The 24,141-nt window shown below is 45.2% G+C and overlaps 2 protein-coding genes across 2 annotated transcripts in view, besides 3 other annotated features; both read left to right on the plus strand.

Annotated features, from left to right (window-relative positions):
• Positions 2,205-15,804, plus strand: LOC124903406 (uncharacterized). Its single transcript, XM_047432048.1, has 3 exons — positions 2,205-2,251; positions 14,473-14,982; positions 15,433-15,804. The coding sequence occupies exons 1-3, from the start codon at positions 2,205-2,207 to the stop codon at positions 15,695-15,697; spliced, it is 822 nt and encodes a 273-aa protein (XP_047288004.1). The 3' UTR covers positions 15,698-15,804.
• Positions 14,368-14,757: a silencer, noted in NCBI's record as "silent region_6005". NCBI's record gives its function as "represses an Ori minimal core promoter by ATAC-STARR-seq in GM12878 lymphoblastoid cells {active_cell/tissue: GM12878}" and the evidence as "EXISTENCE:reporter gene assay evidence [ECO:0000049][PMID:35858748]".
• Positions 15,006-15,507: an enhancer, noted in NCBI's record as "H3K4me1 hESC enhancer chr14:90527279-90527780 (GRCh37/hg19 assembly coordinates)". NCBI's record gives its function as "activates a minimal SCP1, AML or CMV promoter by ChIP-STARR-seq in naive H9 embryonic stem cells {active_cell/tissue: H9 hESC(naive)}" and the evidence as "EXISTENCE:reporter gene assay evidence [ECO:0000049][PMID:30033119]".
• Positions 15,508-16,007: an enhancer, noted in NCBI's record as "H3K4me1 hESC enhancer chr14:90527781-90528280 (GRCh37/hg19 assembly coordinates)". NCBI's record gives its function as "activates a minimal SCP1, AML or CMV promoter by ChIP-STARR-seq in naive H9 embryonic stem cells {active_cell/tissue: H9 hESC(naive)}" and the evidence as "EXISTENCE:reporter gene assay evidence [ECO:0000049][PMID:30033119]".
• KCNK13 (potassium two pore domain channel subfamily K member 13) overlaps positions 16,065-24,141 on the plus strand; it is a 123,860-nt gene continuing 115,783 nt past the window's right edge. The window contains exon 1 of the mRNA NM_022054.4: positions 16,065-16,610. Within this exon, the coding sequence (NP_071337.2) occupies positions 16,277-16,610 (334 nt within the window). The 5' untranslated portion in view covers positions 16,065-16,276. The remainder of the gene's footprint in view (positions 16,611-24,141) is intronic.

Genomic DNA, 24,141 nt, shown 5'->3' on the forward strand with positions numbered 1-24,141 from the left:
CCTGGAAATGGGGAGAGAAGTTCTGCAGAATGGGCTGAATAGATAACATTGAAGTCACATTAGGGAGAGTCCATGGTCAAGGAGTTTGCACTTGGTAGGTGTCCAGGCCCAACCCCTGACAGCAGTGCTGTGCCCCTTGCCAAGGTGAGGGGCTTAGGGAAGGGCAGGGCTGAGCCAGGCCAGTGGGGGGTAGGGTCACTACCCTGTGCTTTCTGGCACAGCTGATAGCACACATGGGAAGTAAAGTAACTCCCCAAAAATAATCAACACATGGGAACACAGAAAACAAGCAGTTCTACCCATTGGTCTTTTTTTTTTTTTTTTTTTTTTTTTTTGGGACTGACCACAACATGCCTAATGTTTTTGAGGAAACCATGCTTCCATCATTCTCCCATTGAGGTTTAACAATTACTTCTCCCTAACTGAAGAAACCCTCATCTCCCCTCTGTTGGCATGAAGCTGCGTGCCCCTGATTTGGAAGGCTGTATTTTTCCACCTAACAGTAACAGCGAATGTTTCCTGAGTTCTTCCTGTGTTTCAGTGCCTGTGTCTAAGTGCTTTACACTTAATCTTCACATCAACCTCCTGAAAAATGTACCATTATTAGCCCTTTTTTTTTTTGAGATACAGTCTTGCTCTGTCACCCAGGCTGGAGTACAGTGGCACAATCTCGGCTCACTGCAACCTCCAGCCCCCAGGTTCAAGTGATTCTCCCAAGTAGCTGGGACTACAGGCACCTGCCACCATGCCCAGCTAATTTTTGTATTTTTAGTAGAGACGGGCTTTAGCCATGTTGGCCAGACTGGTCTTGAACTCCTGGTCTGCCTGCCTAGGCCTCCCAAAGTGCTGGGATTACAAGCATGAGCCACCACGCGCTGCCTTATTACACCTATTTTACAGATGAGGAAACTGAGGTTCAAGGGAGTTAAATAACTTAAAGTCCACGGTAAGCAATGGAACCAAGACTCTGCTGTCTCAAAAGTGCACACCTTCCTGCATTGCACTACACACAAGTTCAGCTTGGTTTTCCTGGATTCTTTAGTGGAAGTTATATAGTTATCCCTAATATAAATTAATACAGTATTACGTGATTTCCAGTGTGAATATGGTACTAACACCACATTATGCCTAGGTCAGATCCTCTTATAAAATCTTTGACAAATTTTCCAAGTTTAGTAGCCCACTTATTTCAAGCAAATCCAGGACAAAAGAATACCATAAACTGTACAATTTCTTACTGTGTTTCTATCAACTAGTAAGTTTGGTGGCCATTGCTTATATAATAGGATTCACACATCCAAAAAATGAGAGATCAAAGGTGGTCTGTGGCCATATGCCCCTGGGAATGTCAGCAATGACATGACCAAGGCCCACCTGGAGGCTGGTGATCAACTCAGCCTGGTCTGTGTCCACTGGTCCTTGAGCATTAACATTGGCCAGCAAGCACTGAGCGCTTTGTGCCAGGAACTCTTCTATGGGTTTTGTGTTTATTTAAATTTTCATAACCTTATCAAAGACATACCACCGTCATCTCCATTTACAGATAGAGAAATAACAGTTATTTTTGAAAAGTCGCATAGCTGGCAAGTGGTGGAGCTGGAATTTGAACCCAGGCATTTTAGCTCCAGGGTCATCCTATACTGCTGTGAGGATCCAGGCAGCAGATGTTCCCAAGGTCCAGCCAAGGGGCAGGCTTTGAGATATGGCTTGGCTGTGTCCCCACCCAAATCTCATCTTGAATTGTAGCTCCCATAATCCTCACATGTTGTGGGAGGGACCTGGTGGAAGATAACTGAATCATGGGGGTGGGTTTTTCCCATGCTCTTCTTGTAATAGTGAATAAGTCTCATGAGAACTAATGGTTTTATAAATGGGAGTTTCCCTGCACGTGCTCTCTTTCCTGCCACCATGTTAAGATGTGCCTTTGTTTCTCCACCATCCGCCATGATTATGAGGCCTCCCCAGCCACATGGAACTGTGAGTCCATTAAACCTCTTTTTCTTTATAAACTACCCAGTCTCGTATTTTTTCATAGTAGTATGAAAATGGACTAATACACTTGGCATACGTGATATGTAACTATATATACAAGACTGGGTACGCTTTCATCCACTGTAACAGCAAATCGTGGTTGACATGACAGAACCAACTAGCAGCACATAAAGTCACCCACTAAATGTCACATCAGTGTGCAGGACTGAGCCATGGAATTATTAAAGCCAGACCTACAAGTGGAGTGGGCTCCTTTCAGGTAAGAGCATAAAGGGCTGAACACTTGCACTGTTAAGTATGATCTATTAAATTTTCTGAAACCTACCGTTTTTGTTGACTCAGTAGATCTAAAGCACAGAGCTGGAGGAATGAGGCCAATGTCAGAAGAGAAGGCAGCATGGGAGATACCAGAGATGGGGAGGGCAAGAGGCAGCCCACACTAGCGGGTGGTGTGCAGAGCATGCAAGTCTTGGTGCAACTCCTGTCCCGTATTTCACAGAGTTCCAATCAAGTCTGTTTTAAAGCAGAATTCAATCGATGTGTATAAATTATATTTTATTCACAGTAGGCCTAGAAGGAGCTCCACAGTCTGACCAACTTTATGGTTCATGTATCTAAGGCACATGTTGCAGTGTCTCCTGTTCCCTTTGTAGGAAGGTTTTCAAAGAGCCCCTTGCTATTTTTTGTTGCTGTTGTTGTTAAAGAGATGGAGTCTTGCTCTGTCACCCAGGCTGGAGTGCTGTGTGGCACGATCATAACTCACTGTGGCCTCAAGCAGTCCTCCTGCCTCAGCCTCCGCAGTAGCTGGGATTATGGGCACAAGCCACCACACCTGGCGTCCATTGCTTTTATCAAGAACTGGAAGGCATCTGGACCAGTCACCTTTTTCATTATACAAAAAGAGAAGCTTAGAAAGGAACGGCAAAGGGGAAATTGCATGCATGGGGCATTTATTACGGGTAACTCAAATCGTAATTTATGATCATAGGTATATACATCTTCACACAATGGGGCAGGTGATACTATCTTAATTTTATTATATAGAGGGAAAAATAAGGTTCAGGGTTACACAGCTGGTTAATGAACAAGATCTGTGCCCCATCTGAGGTGCTAAGTCTATCCTAGCTAAGCCAATGCTATCCCTTTCTGGACCTGAGGACATAGATGATGCTACTGTGTGTGCCCTGGATGGCTGTTTGCTCATAGGTTCTTTAGAAATTAACAGTTAAACTGAATGCTGATTTTGTTCTCATATAATTGACATTACTAAAATTTAAAAGCCTCAAATGTTTGCTACTCAATATTTTATGAATATTTTTATGAAAGAATACATTAGGTTTCTTTTATAGTTACAAGAAACCAGGTTAATTAGATTTGTACAATGAAAGAGACTTTAACAAAAGTCTGGCAACTGTGCTGGAGCCAGGGAATCCCTAATGTAACAGACTGTCTCCAACTTTCAGCTCTGCTTTCCAGAATGTGGGCATCATTCATTCTCAAGCAAGCTCTCCATACTTGGAGGCCAAGATTCCCCCGTGGCACTAGGATCCCATCTTTCTTCCAGCTCCTTATTCCAGAGAAAATACTCAACAACCCCAGGAAAAGTCCCTGGACGCATGGGATTGGCCATCTTGAGTCACAAGTCCTTTCCTGATCCAATTACTCCAGATCCTGGGGCTGCCCCTGATGGGGAGGGAGGGAGGGAGCAGATGGGAAGTTCTCCAAAGGGAGATGGAAAATGCCTGATGTCTCCTCCACAGTGAGAAGCGTCCCTAGGTGACCTATTAATATTGCACCACAGAAACCTATGCCTCTTAAATAATTTGTGCAAACTTGTAGAATATATTGAAAAGCAAAAGGAAACCAAGTAGAGAAATATTTTTTAGTTTCTTGAAAAAGTCACATAAATTAGTGAACCCTTGTGTCCTACAACAGTGATTTTTTAAACTATGGGTCACAACCCTTTAATGAATCCTGAAATCAATTTAAGGGTCATGACCAGCACTTTTGTTTTTTGAACCAGGGTCAGCACCGTTGCCCAGTCTGGAGAGGGCAAAATCAATTTAAGAGTCATGACCAGCACTTTTTTTTTTCTTCCTTGATACAGGGTCAGCACTGTCCCCCAGGCTGGAGTGCAATGGTGCAATCATAACTCACTGCAGCCTTCACCTTCCAAGCTCAAGCAATTCTCCTGCCTCAGCCTCCGGAGTAACTGGGACTATAGGCACGTGCCACCACGCCCAGCTAATTTTTTTTTTTTTTTTTTTTTTTTTTTTTTTTTGTAGTGACAAGGTTTTGCCATATTGCCCAGGCTGGTCTGGAACTCCTGGAGTGAGCCACTGTGCCCGGCCATGACCAGCACTTTTTAATGAAAATATCTGTGTGTAGCACACAGTAGACTTATTTTTGCTTCAATTTACATATCGATGAGTGTGTTCCTTTCCAGGTTCCCTCGTTCATCCACCCTGAATGAAGACAGATACTCACCTGGTAATGGCCTGAGATCTGACTGAAGCCTGAGAGGTGACTCAGCCACAAGACACTCAGGGTTCATTAGAATTGTCTAGTCCCAGGTCTGCTTCCTCCAAGCGGTGAGACCTTGAGGCATTGCAGTAACGCCTCTTGAGTCTTCCTTTTCTCATTTTAAGGACAGGACTAATACCTGTCCTGCCCTGCCTCATGGGGTTGTAATAATGATCAAATGAAGTGGTGCTCTTGACCAGTGGCAAGAACTTCAGAAATGTGAGTTGTAACAATTTGTATTTGTTAGCAGTAAATAAAAGTGCTTGGAACCGGCAGCCTCTGGGGCAATTAAATATAGAAGATAAAACCCATGCCTTTTGGAAACTAGCATTCTTCCACAAATACTGCTTCCAGACTACTAAATGGAAGTTGTTTCTGGAAGATGGATAGATTTAAGAATCTTGGCCACGGAGCTCCTTTTTGCATCCCACAGAAAGGGGCTCTGCTCACAAGGAAGTCTTCCTCCCTAGACTGAGCCTCCCAGAAGCACACCCTGAACAACTCTGCAGAGCTGAGCAGCATACTTCCTGTCCTACAAGTACTGTTTTAGTGATACCTGCTGCCTCCCAGAGAGAAGTGGCAGCATCTCATTGGTGGGGTTGGGGGAATTAGGGAATGCATGTTAATGTGAACCCCAAGAGTGAGTTGATAGCTGGTGAAGAGGGAGAAGGTAGAGGTGAGGGCCTTTAGGTTGGCCGGCTGGGCTTGCCTTGCAGTCAGTAAAGCCCCCTCATGCAGAGCCATTCATCTCCTGTTGGGAACGCTGACCTTTTGGTTCAGATGCCTGATATAAACTCACTGATATGGGAGGGGAGGATCTGAATGGGTAGGAAGGAAACAGGGAAAGTTACTAGGACAGACAGATTCTAAGGCTTCTCTGAAAGGAAGGAAGGAGTTGTGATGTGCTACCGGGGAGGTCCAAGGGAGAAGGGCCTGGGCAGTGTGCACCACTGGTGAGGGTGTGAAAAATGGGCTGGTGACTGGCCACCAAATGGCTTGGGGAGAAGTGGCTGGAGAGAGGGTCACCTGTGTGGTGGGAGGGATCGGACAAGTGTTTTTAGATGTTATGAGAATGTCTAAGTTTGACACAAGACACTCCTAAGTTTGCAAAGAAAGGATATACAGTCACCTTCCTTCAATATCAGAAACAACATGCTGGGGATTAAAAATAAATACTTGGCCAAGAACCTGACCATTTACCAGGTGCATCCATACAGTAAATATCTGAGTGTCTCTTACATGCCTGGCATGTCCCACTTCACCCACAGGAAGAAGTCCATTTTATAAATGAAGAAACTGGGGCTCAAAGAAGTATGTGAACCTAAGGTTTCAGTCTTCTTAAATCCTGCTTCTTGATCTCCTCTAATACCATAGCACACTCAAGAAATGAGCATCTTTAATTGTGCTTGGATTGGCAGAATCTGCCTTTAGCTGGAGGAGCAGACGTAATGGCTTTAATGAGCTACTTAACTACTTTCTAGAGACAACCAAGAGACACTTGAAGAGCCCAGTCTGAGACCTGGTTCCACCTTTCCATCCCTTCTGTGTCCCTGCCTCCAGCCCCCACCCCCAGGACACATCTGGCAGTGAAGGGACTCCAATTCCTGTTCTAGGGAGTGGCCCCCACTTGTGCTCAAAGTATAATTAAGTGGCTTAAAAGTAAGTGCAAGGGTCCGGAGAAGGACTTGACTGCATGAGGGAACTTTTAGAGGTTATAGAAATGTTTCTACCATAATTGTGGCATTGGTAACATTTAACAAAACTCCTTGAATTATATACCAAATTGGTAATTTTTATTGTATGTAAATTATAGTTCAATAAAGCTGATTTTTAAAATACTCAATGTAAATCCTGATATGTGCATTCATTGTATGTAAATTCTACATCAGAAAGGAAAAAACTAAACAGTTGTTGAATTCCAGTTAATGATATACATGCTGAAGTATTTAGGGGCAAGCATATAGATATCTGCAGTTTACTCTGAAATGCATAAAATGTAAGATATATTAATGGACAAGTAGATACATGATCAGGCAAGTAAATAAAAATGTAATTGTCCAATCTAAGTGGTCAATTTACAAGCTGCCATTGTAAAATTATTCTTTGATGTGTTTGAAAATGTCATTATACAATGTTGGGGGAAACCAGGTGACTTCAGGTTTTTGGCAGAGCCAAAGAGTTCCTATTGGACCAATTCTTTAGCAAATAAAAACTGTAAGCTCTGGAAAAAAACCTTCTTTAAAAACCAACTTCTTAAAGATACTGAAATAGACCAAAAGCAGGCAGATACCGGAGAGGAGTCAGTGGAGGAAGGGCACGGGACTGTGTGAGTTACCTGTTTTTTTACCACCGTTAGCCTGAGGCCAGGTGTCCGTGCACTGTGCAGGACAGGTAAGCCTCCAGTGTACAATCTACAGTCTCGCTGGCTTGAGGAACCAGAGTAGAGAGTTCAGAGCATCACAGCCTCTCGAGAGTAAAGGGGGAAATAACAGAAAAGCAAGCCAGAGAGGGGATTCCTAAATTCTGTATATAAACTGCTCAAATCTCTAGCTGACCACTGAACTATGCATGCAGAACTAAGGCTGAAAGAACTGAACTAAAAGTTGAACTACTTCCCACTGCAGGGGAAACAGTTTTGTCACTGAGTTCAACCAAGTTAACTGCATGTTTTAAAATAATTATTTTTCAGAGGAATATAAGAGAATCCTGAGTTTCTACAACACAATGTAAATTATACACTAAATACAATGTCTAGGATACAATCCAAAATTACTCACTATCTGAATAAACAAAAAAGTATGCCTCATTCTCACGAGAAGAGACAAAGGAGATCAACCCCAAGAAGTTCTAGTCAAAGCTATTAAAGCAGCTATTAAAACTGTGCAAGAATGTGAAAAAAGTTCCCATGGTAATGGCCGAAAAACTCCCAAATTTGGTGACAGACATAAAGTTACAGATTCAAGAAGTTCAGTGAATAATAAGCAGGATTAATACAAAGAAAACCCCATCTAGGTGCATCATAGTCTACTGAAGACCAAACTTAAAGAGAAAATATTGAAATCAGCTACAGGAAACTAGGGAGTAATGATTTAAATGACTGCTGACCTCTCTTTAGAAACATTGGAGGCCAGAAGACAGTGCAACATCATCTTTAACACGCTGAAAGGAAAAAAAAGTCACCCCAGAGATCTGTATCCAGCAAAAATATATTTCAAGAATGAATACAAAAAAAAACTAATATTTTCAGATAAAAGGAAACTAAGAGAATTTGCAGATCTAAATTACAAGAAATGCTAGAGGAAGTTCTTCAGGCTAACGGGAGATTTTACCAGAGGGAAACTCAAATCTTTAAGAAGGAATAAAAGCCACTGAAAATAGTAAACATCCGAGTAAATACAAAGGATGTCTTCTTTCTCCTCTTTAAACTGTGCATTACTGTTTAAAGTAAACAATAGGCAGGTGCGGTGGCTCACACCTGTTATCCCAGCACTTGGGGAGGCCAAGGCGGGTGTATCACGAGAACAAGAGATCAAGACCATTCTGGCCAATATGGTGAAACCTCATCTCTACTAAAAATAAAAAAATTAGCTGGGCATGGTGGCACATGCCTGTAGTCCCAGCTACTCAGGAGGCTGAGGCAGGGGAATAGCTTGAACCCAGGAGGTGGAGGTTGCAGTGAGCCGAGATTGTGCCACTGCACTCCAGCCTGGCGACAGAGCAAGACTCCATCTCAAAAAAGGCAAAAACAAAAACAAAAACAATTGGTGGGATTTTAGCATATGTAAATAATTTGAATGACAATCATGGCATAATAGATGCAGGGAAGGGAATAGGAAAGGATCCTATACAGTAAGCTATCTATATTTTATGCAAAGTGATACCATGTTAGTTAGCTCTTAACTGTGAAACGTTCATCCCTGGAACAACCACTTAATAATGTAGAGATAGAGCTAAAAAGCCAATAGATAAAAATGTCTGCTCTGAGAAAGACACCATTAAGAGAATAAAAAGACCAGCCACAGACTGGGAGAAAATATTTGCAAAACAGTTATCTGATAAAGCCCTGTTAACCAAAATATACAAAGAATTTTTACAATTCAACAATAAGAAAACAATGAGATTAAAAGATGGGCCAAACGAGGAGTTTGAGACCAGTCTGGGCAACAAGGAAAAAAAAAAAAAAAAAACTTAGCTGGGCATGGTGGTGCATGCCTGTAGTCCCAGCTACCTGAGAGGCTGAGGCAGAAGGATCACTTGAGCCTAGGAGTTCAAGGCTATAGTGAGCTATGATTGTGCCACTAAATTCCAGCCTGGGCAACCGAGCAAGGCTCTGTCCCTTAAAAAGAAATAGGCTAAAGACACCTCACCAAAATATACATGTGGCAAATACACATAGGAAAAGATGCTCCACACATCATATGTCATCAGAGAAGTATAAATTAAGACAATGAGATACCACTACACATTTATTAGAATGGCCAAAATCCAGAACACTGACATCACCAAATGCTGGCAAGGATATCGAGCAACAGCAACTGTCATTTATTGCTCATGGGAACACAAAATGGTACAGCCACTTTGGAAGACAATTTGGCAGCTTCTTATAAAACTAAATATAGTTGCCATATGATCTAGCAGTTGCACTTCTTAATATTTACCCAAAGGAGTTGAAAACTTATGTCCACACAAAAACCTGCACACAGATGTTTATAGCAATTTTATCCATAACTGCCAAAACCTGAAAGCAACCAAGATGTTCTTCAATAGGTGAATGGATAAATAAGCAGTGGTACATCCAGATAATTGAATATTATCCAGCGCTCTTAAGAAAATGAGCTATCAAGTCATGAAAAGGCACAGAGGAAACGTAGATCCACATTGCTAAGTGAGAGGAGCCAATATGAAAAGACTACATACTGTATGATTATACCTATGTGACATTCTGGAAAAGGCAGAACTTTGGAGACAGTTGAAAGACCAGAGGCTGCAGGAGTGGGGGTGGTAGGATGAACAGGCAGAGCCTAGAGGATTTTTAGGGCAGTGAAGCTACTCTGTGTGATACTATAATGGTGGATACATGTCATTATACATTTGTCCAAACCCATAGAATGTACAGTACCAAAAGTGCACCCTAATATAAACTATGGACTTTGATAATGTGTTAATGTAGATTCGTCAGTTATAACAAATGTACCGCTCTGTTGGGGGAGGCTACGTGTGTGGGGGAGCAGGGGTATTTGGGAAATGTGTACCTTCCTCTCAATTTTGCTGTGAACTTAAAACTGCTCTGAAAAATACTCTATTAACTAAAAAGACCCAGTTAATCCAAAAGAAGTCAGGAAAGGTGGAACAGAGAAGCCAAAAATAGTGGGGACAAACAAGACAAATAGTAAGATGGCAGACTTAAGTCCAGTCGTATAAACAACTACATTAAATGTAAATGGTCTCTATCTGCACTAAGACGGCAGCCACAGGCCACGTGCGATACTTGTTAATTGACATTAAATAAAATTTAAAAGTCAGTCTCTTCATTGCAGTAGCCACATTTTAAGTGCTCAGTAGTGACTCCCATATTTCACTAGTATATTGAAGAGCACAGATATAAAATATTTCCATTATCACGTAAATTCTATTGACCAGCATTGGTCTGATCAATCATGGAGATTATCAGAACTGATACAAATTCCCCCCAAAAAGACCCAACTGCATGCTGTTCACAGCAAGTCCACTTAAAATACATAAACTACACAGATAAGTTAAAAGTAAATGGATGGGAAAAGATACCATGCAAATGTCAAGCAAAAGAATGTGGTGACTGGATTAATATCAGATAAAGTAAACTTCAAGGCAAAGGGTATTACCAGAGATAAAGAGGGACATTTCATATTAATAAAAGGGTCACTACACCAATAAGATACAATAATTATAAATGCATATGTTTAATAACAGCTTAAAAGTACATGAAACAAAAAGTGACATAAAGGTAGAAATAGATGATTACACAGTTACAGCTGGTGATTTTAAATATTCCTCTCACCAATCAATAGAATAACTAGATCAAATGTCAGTAAAGATAGATCATAAAAATACCATCAATTACTTTTAACTGACATTTATAGAACACTACAGCCAACAACTGCAGAATACACTTTCTTTTCAAATGCACATAGTACATTCACTAAAATAGACCATCTGGTTGGACCATTAAATAAGTCTCAACAAATTTAGGAAGATTGAAAACATACTGAATATGGTTCTCTGAACGCACTGGAAATAAGTTAGAAATAAATAATGTGTCTTTTTTAAACTCCAGATATTTGGAAATTAAGCAACACGCTTCTAAATCATGTGCCCCCAAAAAAATCAGAAAATAATATGAATAAAATATGAAAATACAACATACCAAAATTTTTAGGATGCAGCTAGCACCAGGCTAACAGGGAAAGGTATAGTTTAAAAATACTAATGAGAGCCAAGTGAGAGGGGGTCGCTGGAGAAGCTCCAACCAGCCTGCCTACTGAGGTGGAGCTGGAGCCTGGGGAAGTTCACGACCCTTGCAGCAGGGAGGAGCCCGGCCCCTCCTCTTCTAGTGTGGAACCTGGGATTCAAGCTGCCGGCTGGAAGCGCTCTAGCAGGGACTCTGGCCTAGTAAGAGTCCCTGCTTCTCCCTTTTCTTCCCTTTCACCCAATAAAGCCCTGCGTTACTCACCCTACAAACCCTCTGCTAACCTAAATTTTCATGGCCGTAGGACGGACAAGGACCCCATCTTTAGCTGAACTAAGGAAAAGTCCAGCAACACTAACATTAGCAAAGAAGAAAGGTCTAAAATCGGTGATCTAAACATCCACCATAAGAAGCTAGAAAAAGAAGAGTAAACTCAGAAGTAGAGGAATAAAAAGAATAGAGTGGAAACCCCAAGTGCAACATATCCCAGAAATGCAAGATTGGCTTAACATTAGAAAGGCAATCAGTGAAATACAACATATTAGCAGAATAAAGGAGAAAACTATATGATCATCACCATAGATGCAGATATGGCATTTAACAAAATTCAGTACTCATTCATGCTTCATTAAAAACAAAAAACTCGGCCAGGCGCGGTGGCTCACGCCTGTAATCCCAGCACTTTGGGACGCCGAGGCGGGTGGACCACGAGGTCAGGAGATCGAGACCATCCTGGCTGACACGGTGAAACCCCGTCTCTACTAAAAAACAAAAAATTAGCTGGGCATGGTGGCGGGCGCCTGTAGTCCCAGCTACTTGGGAGGCTGAGGCAGGAGAATGGCGTGAACCCGGGAGGCGGAGCTTGCGGTGAGCCGAGATCGCGCCACTGCACTCCGGCCTGGGCGACAGAGCGAGACTCCGTCTCAAAAAAAAAAAAAAAAAAAAAAAACAAAAAACCAAAAACACCAGAAAACTAGAAACAACAATAAAAGGAAACTTCCTTAATCCGATAGTTTCTATGAAAACCCCACAGCTAACATTATATAAATGATGATAAAAGGAAAGTTTTCTCCTAAGATCATAAGACAAGGATATCTGCTTCCACTTCTATTGAATAATGTACTGAGGCTCTAGCCGTTGCAGACAAGAGGGGGAAAAGATGATAAAGATCAGGAAGAAAAAAGCAAAACTTGTAGATGACATGATTATTTACAAAGAAACTCCTAAAGGAATCAACAAAACATGTACAACTGATGACTAAAGTAGCAAGGTTGAAGAATTCAAGTATTTTTGCAACAATCGTGTATTTTTATGGACTACAGCAAACAATTGAAAAGTAAAATTTTGAAATTCCATTTACAATAACATCAAAAGAATATAAAATACTTTAGAATGAATTTACAAGAGATGTGCAAAATCTCCATATGAAAACTTGGTTAAGAAACCCTAAATAAATAGAGGAATATACCTCTTTCATGAATTGTCAAGATGTTCTTCCCAAAATAGATCCAACACAATCCCAGAAATCAAGATCCCACAGCTTTTTGGAGGAAATTAAGCTGATTCTATGATTTTTTAGTGGAAGTGTAAAAGTTTTATAACATCCAAAGAATCTTGAAAAAGAAGAACAAAGTTAGAGGACTCAATTATAGTCCCACTAAAGACCTACTATAGAGCTATAAGTATGTAAATCCTGTGGTATTAGCATAAGGGTGGGCAAATAATGAACAAATTAAATTCCTGAAACTCAGGCATATTTATCTTTTCAACAAATAGCATTGGAATAACTGGAAATCCACCTGGACAAAATGACCTTTGACTCTTACCTCATACCATAAGGAAACAAACTTAAATGGATCGTAGACCCAAATATAAAAGTGTGGGGAGACAGAAAACCTATGCAACCTTGAAGGAGGTAATGATTTCTCAAAGGGCACCAAACATACAGAAAACATATTTAAGAAAATAAATAGGCAAATCAGAGTTAGAAAATATTTGCAAGATATGTATCTGAGAAAGTACTCGTATCCTGCATATATAAAGGATCTCTATAATTCAGTAACAGAGAAACTAATTTTTTAAGTGGGCAAAATATTTCAACAGAAAATTCACAAGAGAAGGTACACAAGTGGCCAGCAAGCGCATTAGACATCAGGGAAATGCAAATTAAAACCACAGTGAGATATCGCTACATCCACCAGTATTTTTAGACATCAGGGAAATGCAAATTAAAACCACAGTGAGATATTGCTACATCCACCAGTAGTTTTAAAATTAAAATGACTGATACTGCCAAATGTTGACAAAGATACGGAGCATCCAGAACTAGTGTACACTGTCAGTACAGCTGCTTTGGGAAAATGTCGGGCAGTTTCTCATAAAGCAAAATACATACCTACCCTATGACCCAGCAATTCCGCTCCTAGGTCTTTACGTAAGAGATATGAAAACATATGTCTACATAGTTGTACAAGAATGTTCCTAACAGTTTTATTTATGATGACCAAAATTTTCTAACAGTTCTCCTTTCTATCAATAGGAGGAGAATGAATAAACAAACTATGGTATACCCAAACAATGAAAAACTAGCAATAAAGAGGAAGGAATTACTAAGACATATAACATGGGTAAATCTCAAAAACATAATGTTTTCCACCAAAGAGTACATACCGGCATGATTCCATTTATATGGAGATTTAGAACAAAAAAACAGTTCTATAAAAGCGAAAGTAATCGATGGTAGAAAAATTCTGAACAGTGGTTTTCTCTGGAGGAATGTGGGTAGGGAGTTACAGGGAAGGGACTTAGGGGGACCCTGTTGGTGATGTTTGGCTGGTAGGTTGGATAGGTGATTTGCAGAGGTGTACCCATTTGTCAGAACTCACCTAATGATACACTTAAGATTTGTGCATTTCATTGTATGTAAATTTTATCCGAAAAGGAAAAAAATTCTGCAAGTAAATATTGAACCCTACGTAGTGATATGCAGGCAGAAGTACTGGGGATGAGGGCGGAAGTGTACCAAGCTCTGCAACTTACTCTGAAATGCATCCAAACAAGATGGGTTGATGGATGGACAGAGGGACGGGTAGATATCTAATAAATCAAGTATAGTAACATGTTAATTGTAGAATCTAGGTGGTGGGTATACGGGTGTTCACTGTAAAATTCAACTTTTTAGAATGTTTGAAATTTTTCATAATAAAATGGATTTAAAAGGTAATTGCAGTACTCACCCTGGGTGTATACACATGCACCCATTCTCGCGATGCCCCTAAAGCTCTTGCCCCTCAGAAGGCTAGATGAAAGAGGGGCATTGGGGAGTGAGTAACAGAGCCGAGAGGACTGCTAACAGCACCAGGGTTTCTGATGAAAATGCACTCGCCAGAGCTGTGTTTCTTTATTCGAAATCACACGGTTTTACTCAACAGGGCTCCTAGCCCTTCTGTCTCTGCTCCTGGTGCGTAAGGGCGGTGTGTGGGGCTCTGCGCCTGAAACCGCTCTCTCGGAAGGTGGGAAGATGCCCACGTATCCATTCCTCTCCGCGTACAGATTCGCTCCCACACGCCCGGGCGGGTGATTCCGGAGGGCCGCGCGGGGCTGTGTGCGCGGGCGGGGGCGGGATGTGTCTGGAGGGGGCAGAGCGCCCTCTCCCGGCCCCGGAGGGCCCACGCGGACCGGCTGAGCGTCCCACCAGCCGGTTCTGCATCCACTACCCAGATCTGCGCGCCCTGGTGGGAGCACCGCAGCCCCGGGTCGGCCCTTCGAACGCCGAGCGTCTACCCGCGGAGACCAGCGCAGGAGGCGGGCCCGCGCGCAAGGAGGCGGGCGACAGGGTGGAGTCGCCGCAGCTGGCAGCCGCACGGCTCTACCTGTTGCAGCGTCGGAGCGCGCCCGCCTGAGAAGGCAGAGCGCGGTGCGGACCTGTGCTCCGCGCGCCGGCTGGCAGGGCAGGGCCGCGGCTGCCAGGAGGCCCGGGAACAGTCCCGACGGAGCGGCGCGGAGAGGGCGCTCCCCGGAAGGTGAGATCTGAGCGCGGCAGCGGCGCCAGCGCCCGCTACAAGGCGGGGTCTCGGGGAGGGGGCCCCGGCGGTTTGCTGGAGAGCCTTGCTACTGTTCTGCATGAGGTGGGGGATGCCTTCTGCGCGGACCCCGCGTCCAGGCAAAACTCTGGAACGCACTAGGCAGCCAAGCCCGGGGGGAAGAGATGGAACGCTCCAAGGTCAAGGTCTCCTGGCCGCGGAGCCCTTCCAGCCCCCAGTGTTTGGCCTCCTCTCCGGAAGCGGGGCTGGCTCGCGGTGCGCGCTTGGTCCGGGCGGAGCCTACTAGTAGGCGCAGAGGACGCCCCCGCGCAGGATCCAGAGACCAAGGGCGCTCTGGCATGGTCAAGGCGAGGGAGGCTGCCCGGGGGAGAAGCCCCTAACTTCCTTTGCTCCCTGTTCCAACCTCCCTTTCTGGTCTCCTCTCTCCAGCCCGTCCGCCCAACGGATGCGCAGCGTTGGGGCCCGGCCGGAGGTCGGAGCCCTCGGACGCCGCAGCCCTCGGACGCCGCTCAGCACAGCCCCTCTCTCCGTGCGCCCGCCCTGGACCCCCTCCATCCCTAAGCCCCGGCAGCCGATTCGGAGACTCGGGAGGCCACAGGCTCAGCGCGACACCACGACCACAACTAGGAGGCACCATCGTCGATCTACCTGGGGAGGCACCTACAAAGCCAGCAGACTGACACCCGTGTCCTAGCCGTCGGCGGCCTGCGAAGCGATAGTCAAAGGAACCAGGACCCAGGACCCCGGCGCTCTGCTTACCCGCAGACCTCCGGACCGCGCCCCCCCCCCGCCGCCCCGCCCCGCCCCGCCCCGCCCCGCGACCGTCTCTTTGCGGGAAACTCGAGTTGGCTCGAGCTTGCCCTGAAGACGCGCCACGCCCCCTCCCCTATCTGAGCCGGACAGGGAGCCGGGGTGGAAACTGCGCCCGCATCCCAGCGCCAAGCAGACGTGAACTCTGCGCCCGTTCCCCGGGACCTTCAGCGTTAAGGAGAACTCCGAGGAGAGCAGGGGGAGTGGAGGGGAACGGCGGCGACAAAGCGGATTTGAAACTAGGAGTCAAGGAGGACGTGGGGAGCTGGCGCCACAGGAGCTACCGAGGCGGCGGCCGGGGGAGCCTCGCGGCCTGCGGGAGAGCCCGGCGGTCATGGGCGAGCCGGCGGTGGGGCGCCCGGGAGCTGGCTGAGCGCCGGGGCCCTTATTTCCCGGGGGTGTGGGCGAGACTCCGCCGACGCCCGGTGCCGTGGGCCTGGGGGCTGCCCCCGGGGGCCCGGCCATGGCTGGCCGGGGTTTCAGCTGGGGCCCGGGCCACCTGAACGAGGACAACGCGCGCTTTCTGCTGCTGGCCGCGCTCATCGTGCTCTACCTGCTGGGCGGCGCCGCCGTCTTCTCCGCGCTGGAGCTGGCGCACGAGCGCCAGGCCAAGCAGCGCTGGGAGGAGCGCCTGGCCAACTTCAGCCGCGGCCACAACCTGAGCCGCGACGAGCTGCGCGGCTTCCTCCGCCACTACGAGGAGGCCACTCGGGCCGGCATCCGCGTGGACAACGTCCGCCCGCGCTGGGACTTCACCGGCGCCTTCTACTTCGTGGGCACCGTCGTTTCCACCATAGGTAAGTGTGCTGGCCGGACTCGCTGACAACCTCCGGGCGGCCTCCACTTCCTCCGGGGGGCAGGACCGACCCTCTCATCCTTTCATTCATCCATCTGGGCGCCCAGCCAGACTCCACTGACATGAGCTGTCGCCTGATCAACAGGTGGTATTGCCTCCCCGCTGCTCTAATGTGGTCCAGGCACCGGCAGCTTCAGCGTCACCTGGCAGCTTGTTAGAAATGCAGTCTCAGTCCCCTCTGCAGACCTGCCGAGTCAGAATCTGCATGTTAACAAAGTCCCCAAAGGATTGGAATGATCCTTAAATTGGAGACGCTCTGCTCTGGGAGATTTTCAGTCTAATGAAGGAGACACGGCTTGAGTTCATGGGGAAGAAGGCTTTTACAGATAGGGACAGGAAACTAAACATTTACTGAGTCAGTCAGAGGGGAAGTGCAGATTTTAAAAGATTCTGCCCTCGACTTCACACTTACCGAGAAAAAATCAGAACAGCAGACTGAAAGTGAGGAAGCAAAAGTGCCAATGACGGTTCAAAAGATGGAAAATTTTCCACCAGGAAGAACCAGGGAAGTGACCTTTGGGCTGAATCAATTCGTGTTAGGCATAACTTGGGTTTGGGAACTGAAAGCGCGGTTGCACTCTAGAGTAGGAGAGAATCGCACTCAGGGGCCCCATGAGCTGGTTGGAGTGGTGGAAGGAAGACTAGGAAGGTCTGCTGGCTAATGGGATGGAGGCGGGGGTAGGACCTTCACTGACAGACTGAGGAGCTGGAATTTACCTAGAGGCACCTGGGAGCCATTGAGAATTTTTTAGCAAAGATGTAGCACAGCTACAATCAGCTGTGTTTATTTCCCAGCAGAAGGAAAATGATTTGGGGGAGTCTGCGCCACACCCCTAAAGATTGTTCATCCTTGAAGAATAATCAAGTGATTAATGGGGGTTAGGGAAGATGCTGTAGAAATAAATTCTGAGGGGGGCAAAAAGAGACCTGGAGCAGGGGAGGGAGGTTGGAAGAGTTAGACGGAGAGGAAGTGGCCTCCAAGCTGCAAAAAAGGCTGGCAGTTGCAAACAGCCCAGGGTGCATGTGCTGAGCGCTCTGTAGCTACTGCCCCTGTGCACTCTAGAAGAGCTCGCTGGTGAGGTGGGGCGACAAGTTGAGCCTCCTTGAGGCTCCCACACATGGCTGTGCTACATAGACATTCTGCCAGGAGAAGCAGCACAAAAGACAAAAGAGATTGGCTTCAGGTCAGATTCATCATGAAAGACTTCCCAGGGCTAGTCCAGGAATCCAGGGCTTCAGCTGATGCACAGGAGGCGAGGCAGAGGACCAGTATGATTAGGGACACACCGGCTGTATCTGAAGTGCCTGGCTCCCAGCCCCCATCCCATCCCAGATGGTGCGGCCCATCAGCAGGCCATGATGGCACCACCATAACTGGGTATCAGGCAGGAAACCTTGCAGCAGACCAGAATGGGCCCAAGATTGGTGAAGGAGGAATAACACCCCCATGGTTCTCCCCCTGAGCCCACACTATCTGCTGGACTCTTAGCCGTGTTCCACAAGCCCCTCCTCACATCACCTCCCACGTCCCAGAAGACAGTTCCAGAATCTCCACATAGGCAAGACTTGGGATGAACAAACTGATTAGGAGGTGTCACTTTGGAAGTGACCTTGACTCTACTGTGTTTGCATAGCAAGTACAGGATTTTTTTAGATTGAATGGTAACTTAGGGTGGTTTTGATGGGAGATTTGATGGCTGAATCTTTCCCACCACCATGAAAAACCATCTCTTGGTGCTCCCAGTGGGCACAGAGGCAGGAAGGAGCAGAGTGTGTGTGTGGACAGGTGCATCCATGTAGCAGGAACTGAGAGTGGCATGGGTAGGTGGCCATATAGGAACATGGGCTTTGGGGATACGAATATGACAATGTGGCATGGAGGAGTGGAAAGAAACCTGGACAAAGAGTCTGGAGTGGGAGCTTTTCATCCTGCCTCTGTATCTTGGGCAAGCCTCTTAACTATTCCGAGCCCCATCCTTTTCTCATCTGAGGCATCTACAGAGTGCCCACCTTGGTATCTGGCACATCAGCTATTTGGTGAATATTAGTCCTGCCCCCTGCTCCCTCCGTCTGCGTAAGCCTGCCCCTGTCACAGGGTTCTTGTGAGGGACAATGAGCTCTTGTAAGTGCGTGCGTGTTAAAAGGTAAAAAACATGATGTCAGTGTGGGCTGATTTTTATTTCTCATTTGTAACATTTCCTTTTAAATTGTTTCACTAATTGTTGTAATAACAGCACTGGCTAACCTTTATCAGGCCCGTATTAGGCACATACTGTATGATTATTATGTGAATGTGCAATGCAGCTCATTGCTGTGTGACATTCACACTTCATTTCAGCCAACACAACTCCATGAGGTAGGCATAACACTCCCCCGTTATAGATGAAAAAGCTGAAGGTTCAGGTTTTTTGTAAAATAAAGTATAAAGAAGAAAAAAATCAAGTTATATGCAGTAATATCATCCAAATTAACCACTGTTCATGTTTTGGTCCATTTTCTTCTGGTCTCCTTTTTCCTCTGCGTATACTTATATACATATGCATTTTTAAAAATTAGAATTATATTCTATAAACCACTCATATCTTGCATTTTTATTGTAACATTACATGATGGTGTTTTTCCTCTAAAAATTAATTCCACCATGCTTTATTCTGCAAAGACTTTGAGGTAGCAGACAAAGTATACAGGAAAATAATCATAAAATACAAATAAAACTTCAGAACCAGGGAAAAGAAGAACAGAAATACGGGATGCAAGTGGAGCTACGAAGTTGCTAGAGAGGAACTTTGTCTTAGTTTGGGTTCCCTTAGAAGCAGAGCTTGAGCCAAGAATTTGAGTGTAAGCAGTTTGTTGGGAGGAGCAAGGGATACAGGTCGGTGCAAGGGAAAGTGAATCGAGGAAGGAAAGTAAGTTAATCCAGGATACGCTATTAAGGCAGGTGCCACAGTGGGCAACTGGTACCTAATCCCAAATGGAAGCTTGGAAGCAAAGCAAAGCTCTTGACCCAGATATCCCATGCAAGAAAGCTGGGATGTTTACACAACCACACCTGTCAGGAATTGGTTAAAAAGCTGTCTGGGGAGGATGAGAAAGGAGCACGGGGATGTAATTTCCAGGTACTTCTGGCCTTATTTTCTTTCATGGACAGCCCAAGGGTAGCCCTCACGCAGAGATAGGCTCTGCTGTTGGAAATGAGGCCAGTGTGCCAGGAAATGATAACACGATCCCAAGGAATGGTGGGGAATCCCATGGAAGGCAGAGAACCAGCAAGCTTCAGATTTGGTTTCAGGCTTCATGGCAGACAGAGTCATGACCCATACTAGAATTCTTAATATCAGAAACGAGGAAACATAAACCTTTCCAGTACCTAATTCTCCTTTTTTGAGACAGAGTCTTGCCCTGTCACCTAGGCTTGAGTGCAGTGGCACAATCTTGGCTCACTGCAACCCCTGCCTCCCGGGTTCAAGCAGTTCTCCTGCCTCAGCTTCCCAAGTAGCTGGGATTACAGGTGTGCACCACCAGGCCCAGCTAATTTTTGTATTTTTTTTTTTTTTTTTAGTGGAGATGGGGTTTTGACATGTTGGCCAGGCTGGTCTGAAACTCTTGACCTCAAGTGATCCTCCTGTCTCAGCCTCCCAAAGTGCTGGGATTACAGGTGTGACCCACTTTTTATTTTTTTATTTTTTGAGGGAGTCTCAATTTGCCACCCAGGATGGAGTGCAGTGGCATGAGCTTGGTTCACTGCAACGTCCGTGCCTCCCAGGTGCAAGCAATTCTCCTGCCTTGGCCTCCCAAGTAGCTGGGATTACAGGTGCAAGCCACCACACCCAGCTAATTTTTGTATTTTTAGTAGAGAGAGGGCTACACCATGTTGATCAGGCTGGTCTTGAAATCCTGGTCTCAAGTGATCCGCCCACCTCAGCCTCCCAAAGTGCTGAGATTACAGGTGTGAGCCACTGCACCTGGCCCCAGTACCTAATTCTCAAAAGTATTTTCTCTTTGGGATTATATGTAGGAGACATTGTGTAGGACAACAGATGATATTCACAAACAATATTTTCCTGGAAAATGCTATTGAGGATTTCATGTAGCTGTGATCTAATTGAGACTTTTGACTTAAAAGTCAGAGCTTAGAGTGAAAAACAGTTTGCCAGTTTCTCTACAGGTTAAACATAGAACTACTTTATGACCCAGCAATTCCATTTCTAGGTATATATCCAAAAAAAAATCAAAAGTAGGGATTCAAACAGATATTTGTACGCCAGTGTTCATAGCAGCATTATTCACAATATCCAAACAACCCAAGTGCCCATCAACGGATGAATGAATTAACCAAATGTGGGCTACATACAATGGAATATGATTCAGCCAAAAAAAAAGGAATGAAATTGGCCAAGCACGGTGGCTCATGCCTGTAATCCCAACACTTTGGGAGGCCAAGGCAGGTGGATCACGAGGTCAGGAGTTCGAGACCAGCCTGGCCAATATGGTGAAACCCTGTCTCTACTAAAAATAAACAAATTAGCTGGGTGTGGTGGCCTGTGCCTGTAGTCCCAGCTACTTGGGAGGCTGAGGCAGGAGAATTGCTGGAACCTGGGAGGCAGAGGTTGCAGTGAGCTGAGATCGCGCCAATGCACTCCAGCCTGGGTGACAGAGTGAGACCATCTCAAGAAAAAAACGAAAAGGAATGAAATTTTGATATATGCTGTAACATAGATGGACCTTGAAAATAATTATGCTTAGTAAAATAAGCCAGACACAGAAGGACAAATATCATATGATTCCATTTATATGAGGTACTTAGAATAGGCAAATTCATAGAGATAAATTAAAATACAGGTTACCAGGGGCTGAGGGACGGCCAGAAGTGGGAGTTATTGTTTAATGGGTACTTTCAGTTTGGGATACTGAAAACATTTTGGGTATAGATAGTGGTGATGGTTGTACAACATTGCAATTATATTTAATGCTATTGAATTGTACACTTTTAAATGGTTAAAATGATAAATATGTTAAGTATATTTGACTGCAGTAAAGAAAACCTCAGGGCAGAGTATTAAAACACAATTCAGAAATGTTGATTCTGAAAAAGGCTGGAGATCAGACGTGAAACAGGGATAAACTTAAAGTACTCAGAAAAGTAGAATGACAGTATGTCTTGTAAATGATCTTCTGTGAATATCTTTTCTCTGAAACTAGCTTTTGTTAGGAGCTTGTCCCCGTGTTTGCTGGTATATCTGTAGGTAGCTTCTGTCCCCAAAGGGTTTGAGGTACTCTGCATTTGACAGAGTCGGGGAAGGCTTAGGTTTTGCTGCAGTAACAAGCTACTCCCAAAATCTCAGTAGCTTAATGTAATAAAAGTGTACTTCTTACCCACACCAAGTTCACTGTGGGTGCTGGTGATGCTGCCGGGCGGTTGTCTCTGTGTTGCCCCAGCGCTTCAGGCCTCTTCTGTCTCTTGGCTCCTCTTCCTCAGCACATGCTTCCAGGATTGCTCTAGAAGGGGAAGAAAGGGCTGAAGAGTCAAGCACCAATGATTAAATGGCCACCACCACCTGCAAGTAGCACAGGTCCCCTCCACTCCCACATCCTTGGCCAAATCAAGTCACAGAACCACCACTCCCTACTTCAAAGGGTCAGGGAAACGTTATCCCATCCCCTTTGTGGCAAGTTGCAGAAGAAATGTTTCTTCCAGGCTAAAAAAGCACGTGTTGGGCCCAGCGGGGTGGCTCATGCCTGTAATCTCAGCACTTTGGGAGGGGGAGGTGGGTGGATTGCTTGAGGCCAGGAGTTCGAAACCAGCCTGGCCAACATGGCGAAACCCCATCTCTACAAAAAAAATAGAAAAAATTAGCCAGGTGTGGTGGTGCAGGCCTGTAGTCCCAGCTACTTGGCGGGCTGAGGTAGGAGGATCACTTGAGCCCAGGAGATTGAGGTTGAGGCTGCAGTGAACCATGATCATGCCACTGCCCTCCAGCCTGGGCAATAGGGCAAGACCCTGTCTCAAGCAAAAAAAAGAAAAGAAATGCAGACTCTCAGGTCAACCCCAGACCAACAGAATCAAAGTCTGTGCTTTAATAAGACACCCAGGTGAGTCCTGGGCACATTCAAGTTTGAGAAATCTGGAGTCTAGAGGGCCGTTCATGTTGTGATGTTTCTGACTAGGACAAGCCCTCCCATGCTTTAGAACATAGACAAACTGGTGGCCAGGCAGGTGTGGTGAGGAGGTGAGCTCACCTGCTGTCTTATGACCTCCTCGCCAACTGGAAGTCAAGTGCGCTGAGGGCAGGTTCATTACACACCATCCAGATGCAGGGATGTGCCGGGCTCAGGCTGAGAAGATGACCCGGCTCATGAGGACCTGAGATGCTCAGATGGAGAGGCTCAGCCTCGCCTCGTATGTGACTAGATTCTCAACAACAGTTTTTATTCTTTTTTTTTTTTTTTTTTTTTTTTGAGACAGAGTTTCCCTTTGTCACTGAGGCTAGAGTGCAGTGGCGCGATCTTGGCTCACTGCAACCTCTGCCTCCCGGGTTCAAGCGATTCTCTTGCCTCAGCCTCCTGAGTAGCTGGGATTACAGGTGCCTGCCACCACACCCAGCTAATTTTTGTATTTTTAGTAGAGATGAGGTTTCACCATGTTGGTCAGGCTGGTCTCAAACTCCTGACCTCGTGATCTGCCCACCTCGGCCTCCCAAAGTGCTGGGATTATAGGCTTGAGCCACTGCGCCCAGCCCTATTCATTTTTATTAAACAGAGATAATTATGCAAGTGCCCTTTTCTGTCCCGGGGTGTGGCCCATGATTGGCTCTGCATGGCTGTACTCTACAAGACCCCCATGGGATTCTGGGGCTCAGCTGGTAGGTGTCTTGTTGGCCCTGGTCAGTGTGTAAATCCATGTGGTGCTGAACTGAATATTGCTTTGGAAATCTTTTTTTTTTTTTCTCAGAGGAACAAGGCTGAGGAAAGAGCTTTTGAAATCAAAGTATATCAAGTCCAAACAATAAAATATTGAAAGTCACTATTTTACAGTATAAAGTTATAAACTGACATCAAAGAAGATGAGGCATTCAGAAAGAATAAAAATATCCCACGAATGCATTAATGATATACATTAATGGATGTTATGCATGGGTCAAGATTTAAATCATACATTGAACACTTCAGATGTTACCAAGCATTTGTGCACAAACCTTATGGGATAGGCAGGGAAGTTATTACTAATTCCATTTTGCAAGTAAGGAACCTGAGGTGCAGACAGCATAGATATCTTGCTTCAGACCACACAGCTATAAAGTGGCAGAGTTAGAATTAGAACCAAGTTTTGTTTTGTTCAGTGTCTAGTGACAAAATATATATTAATTTTGGAAGACTGGGAAAGTATAAAAAAAAAGTAGAAATCATCCATAATTCTACCAACCAACAACAAACACTGTAAATAGTCTGGGAAATCATATCATACATATTGAACC

The sequence above is a fragment of the Homo sapiens genome, chromosome 14 (assembly GCF_000001405.40).
Source record: "Homo sapiens chromosome 14, GRCh38.p14 Primary Assembly".
Taxonomy (NCBI): Eukaryota; Metazoa; Chordata; class Mammalia; order Primates; family Hominidae; genus Homo; species Homo sapiens.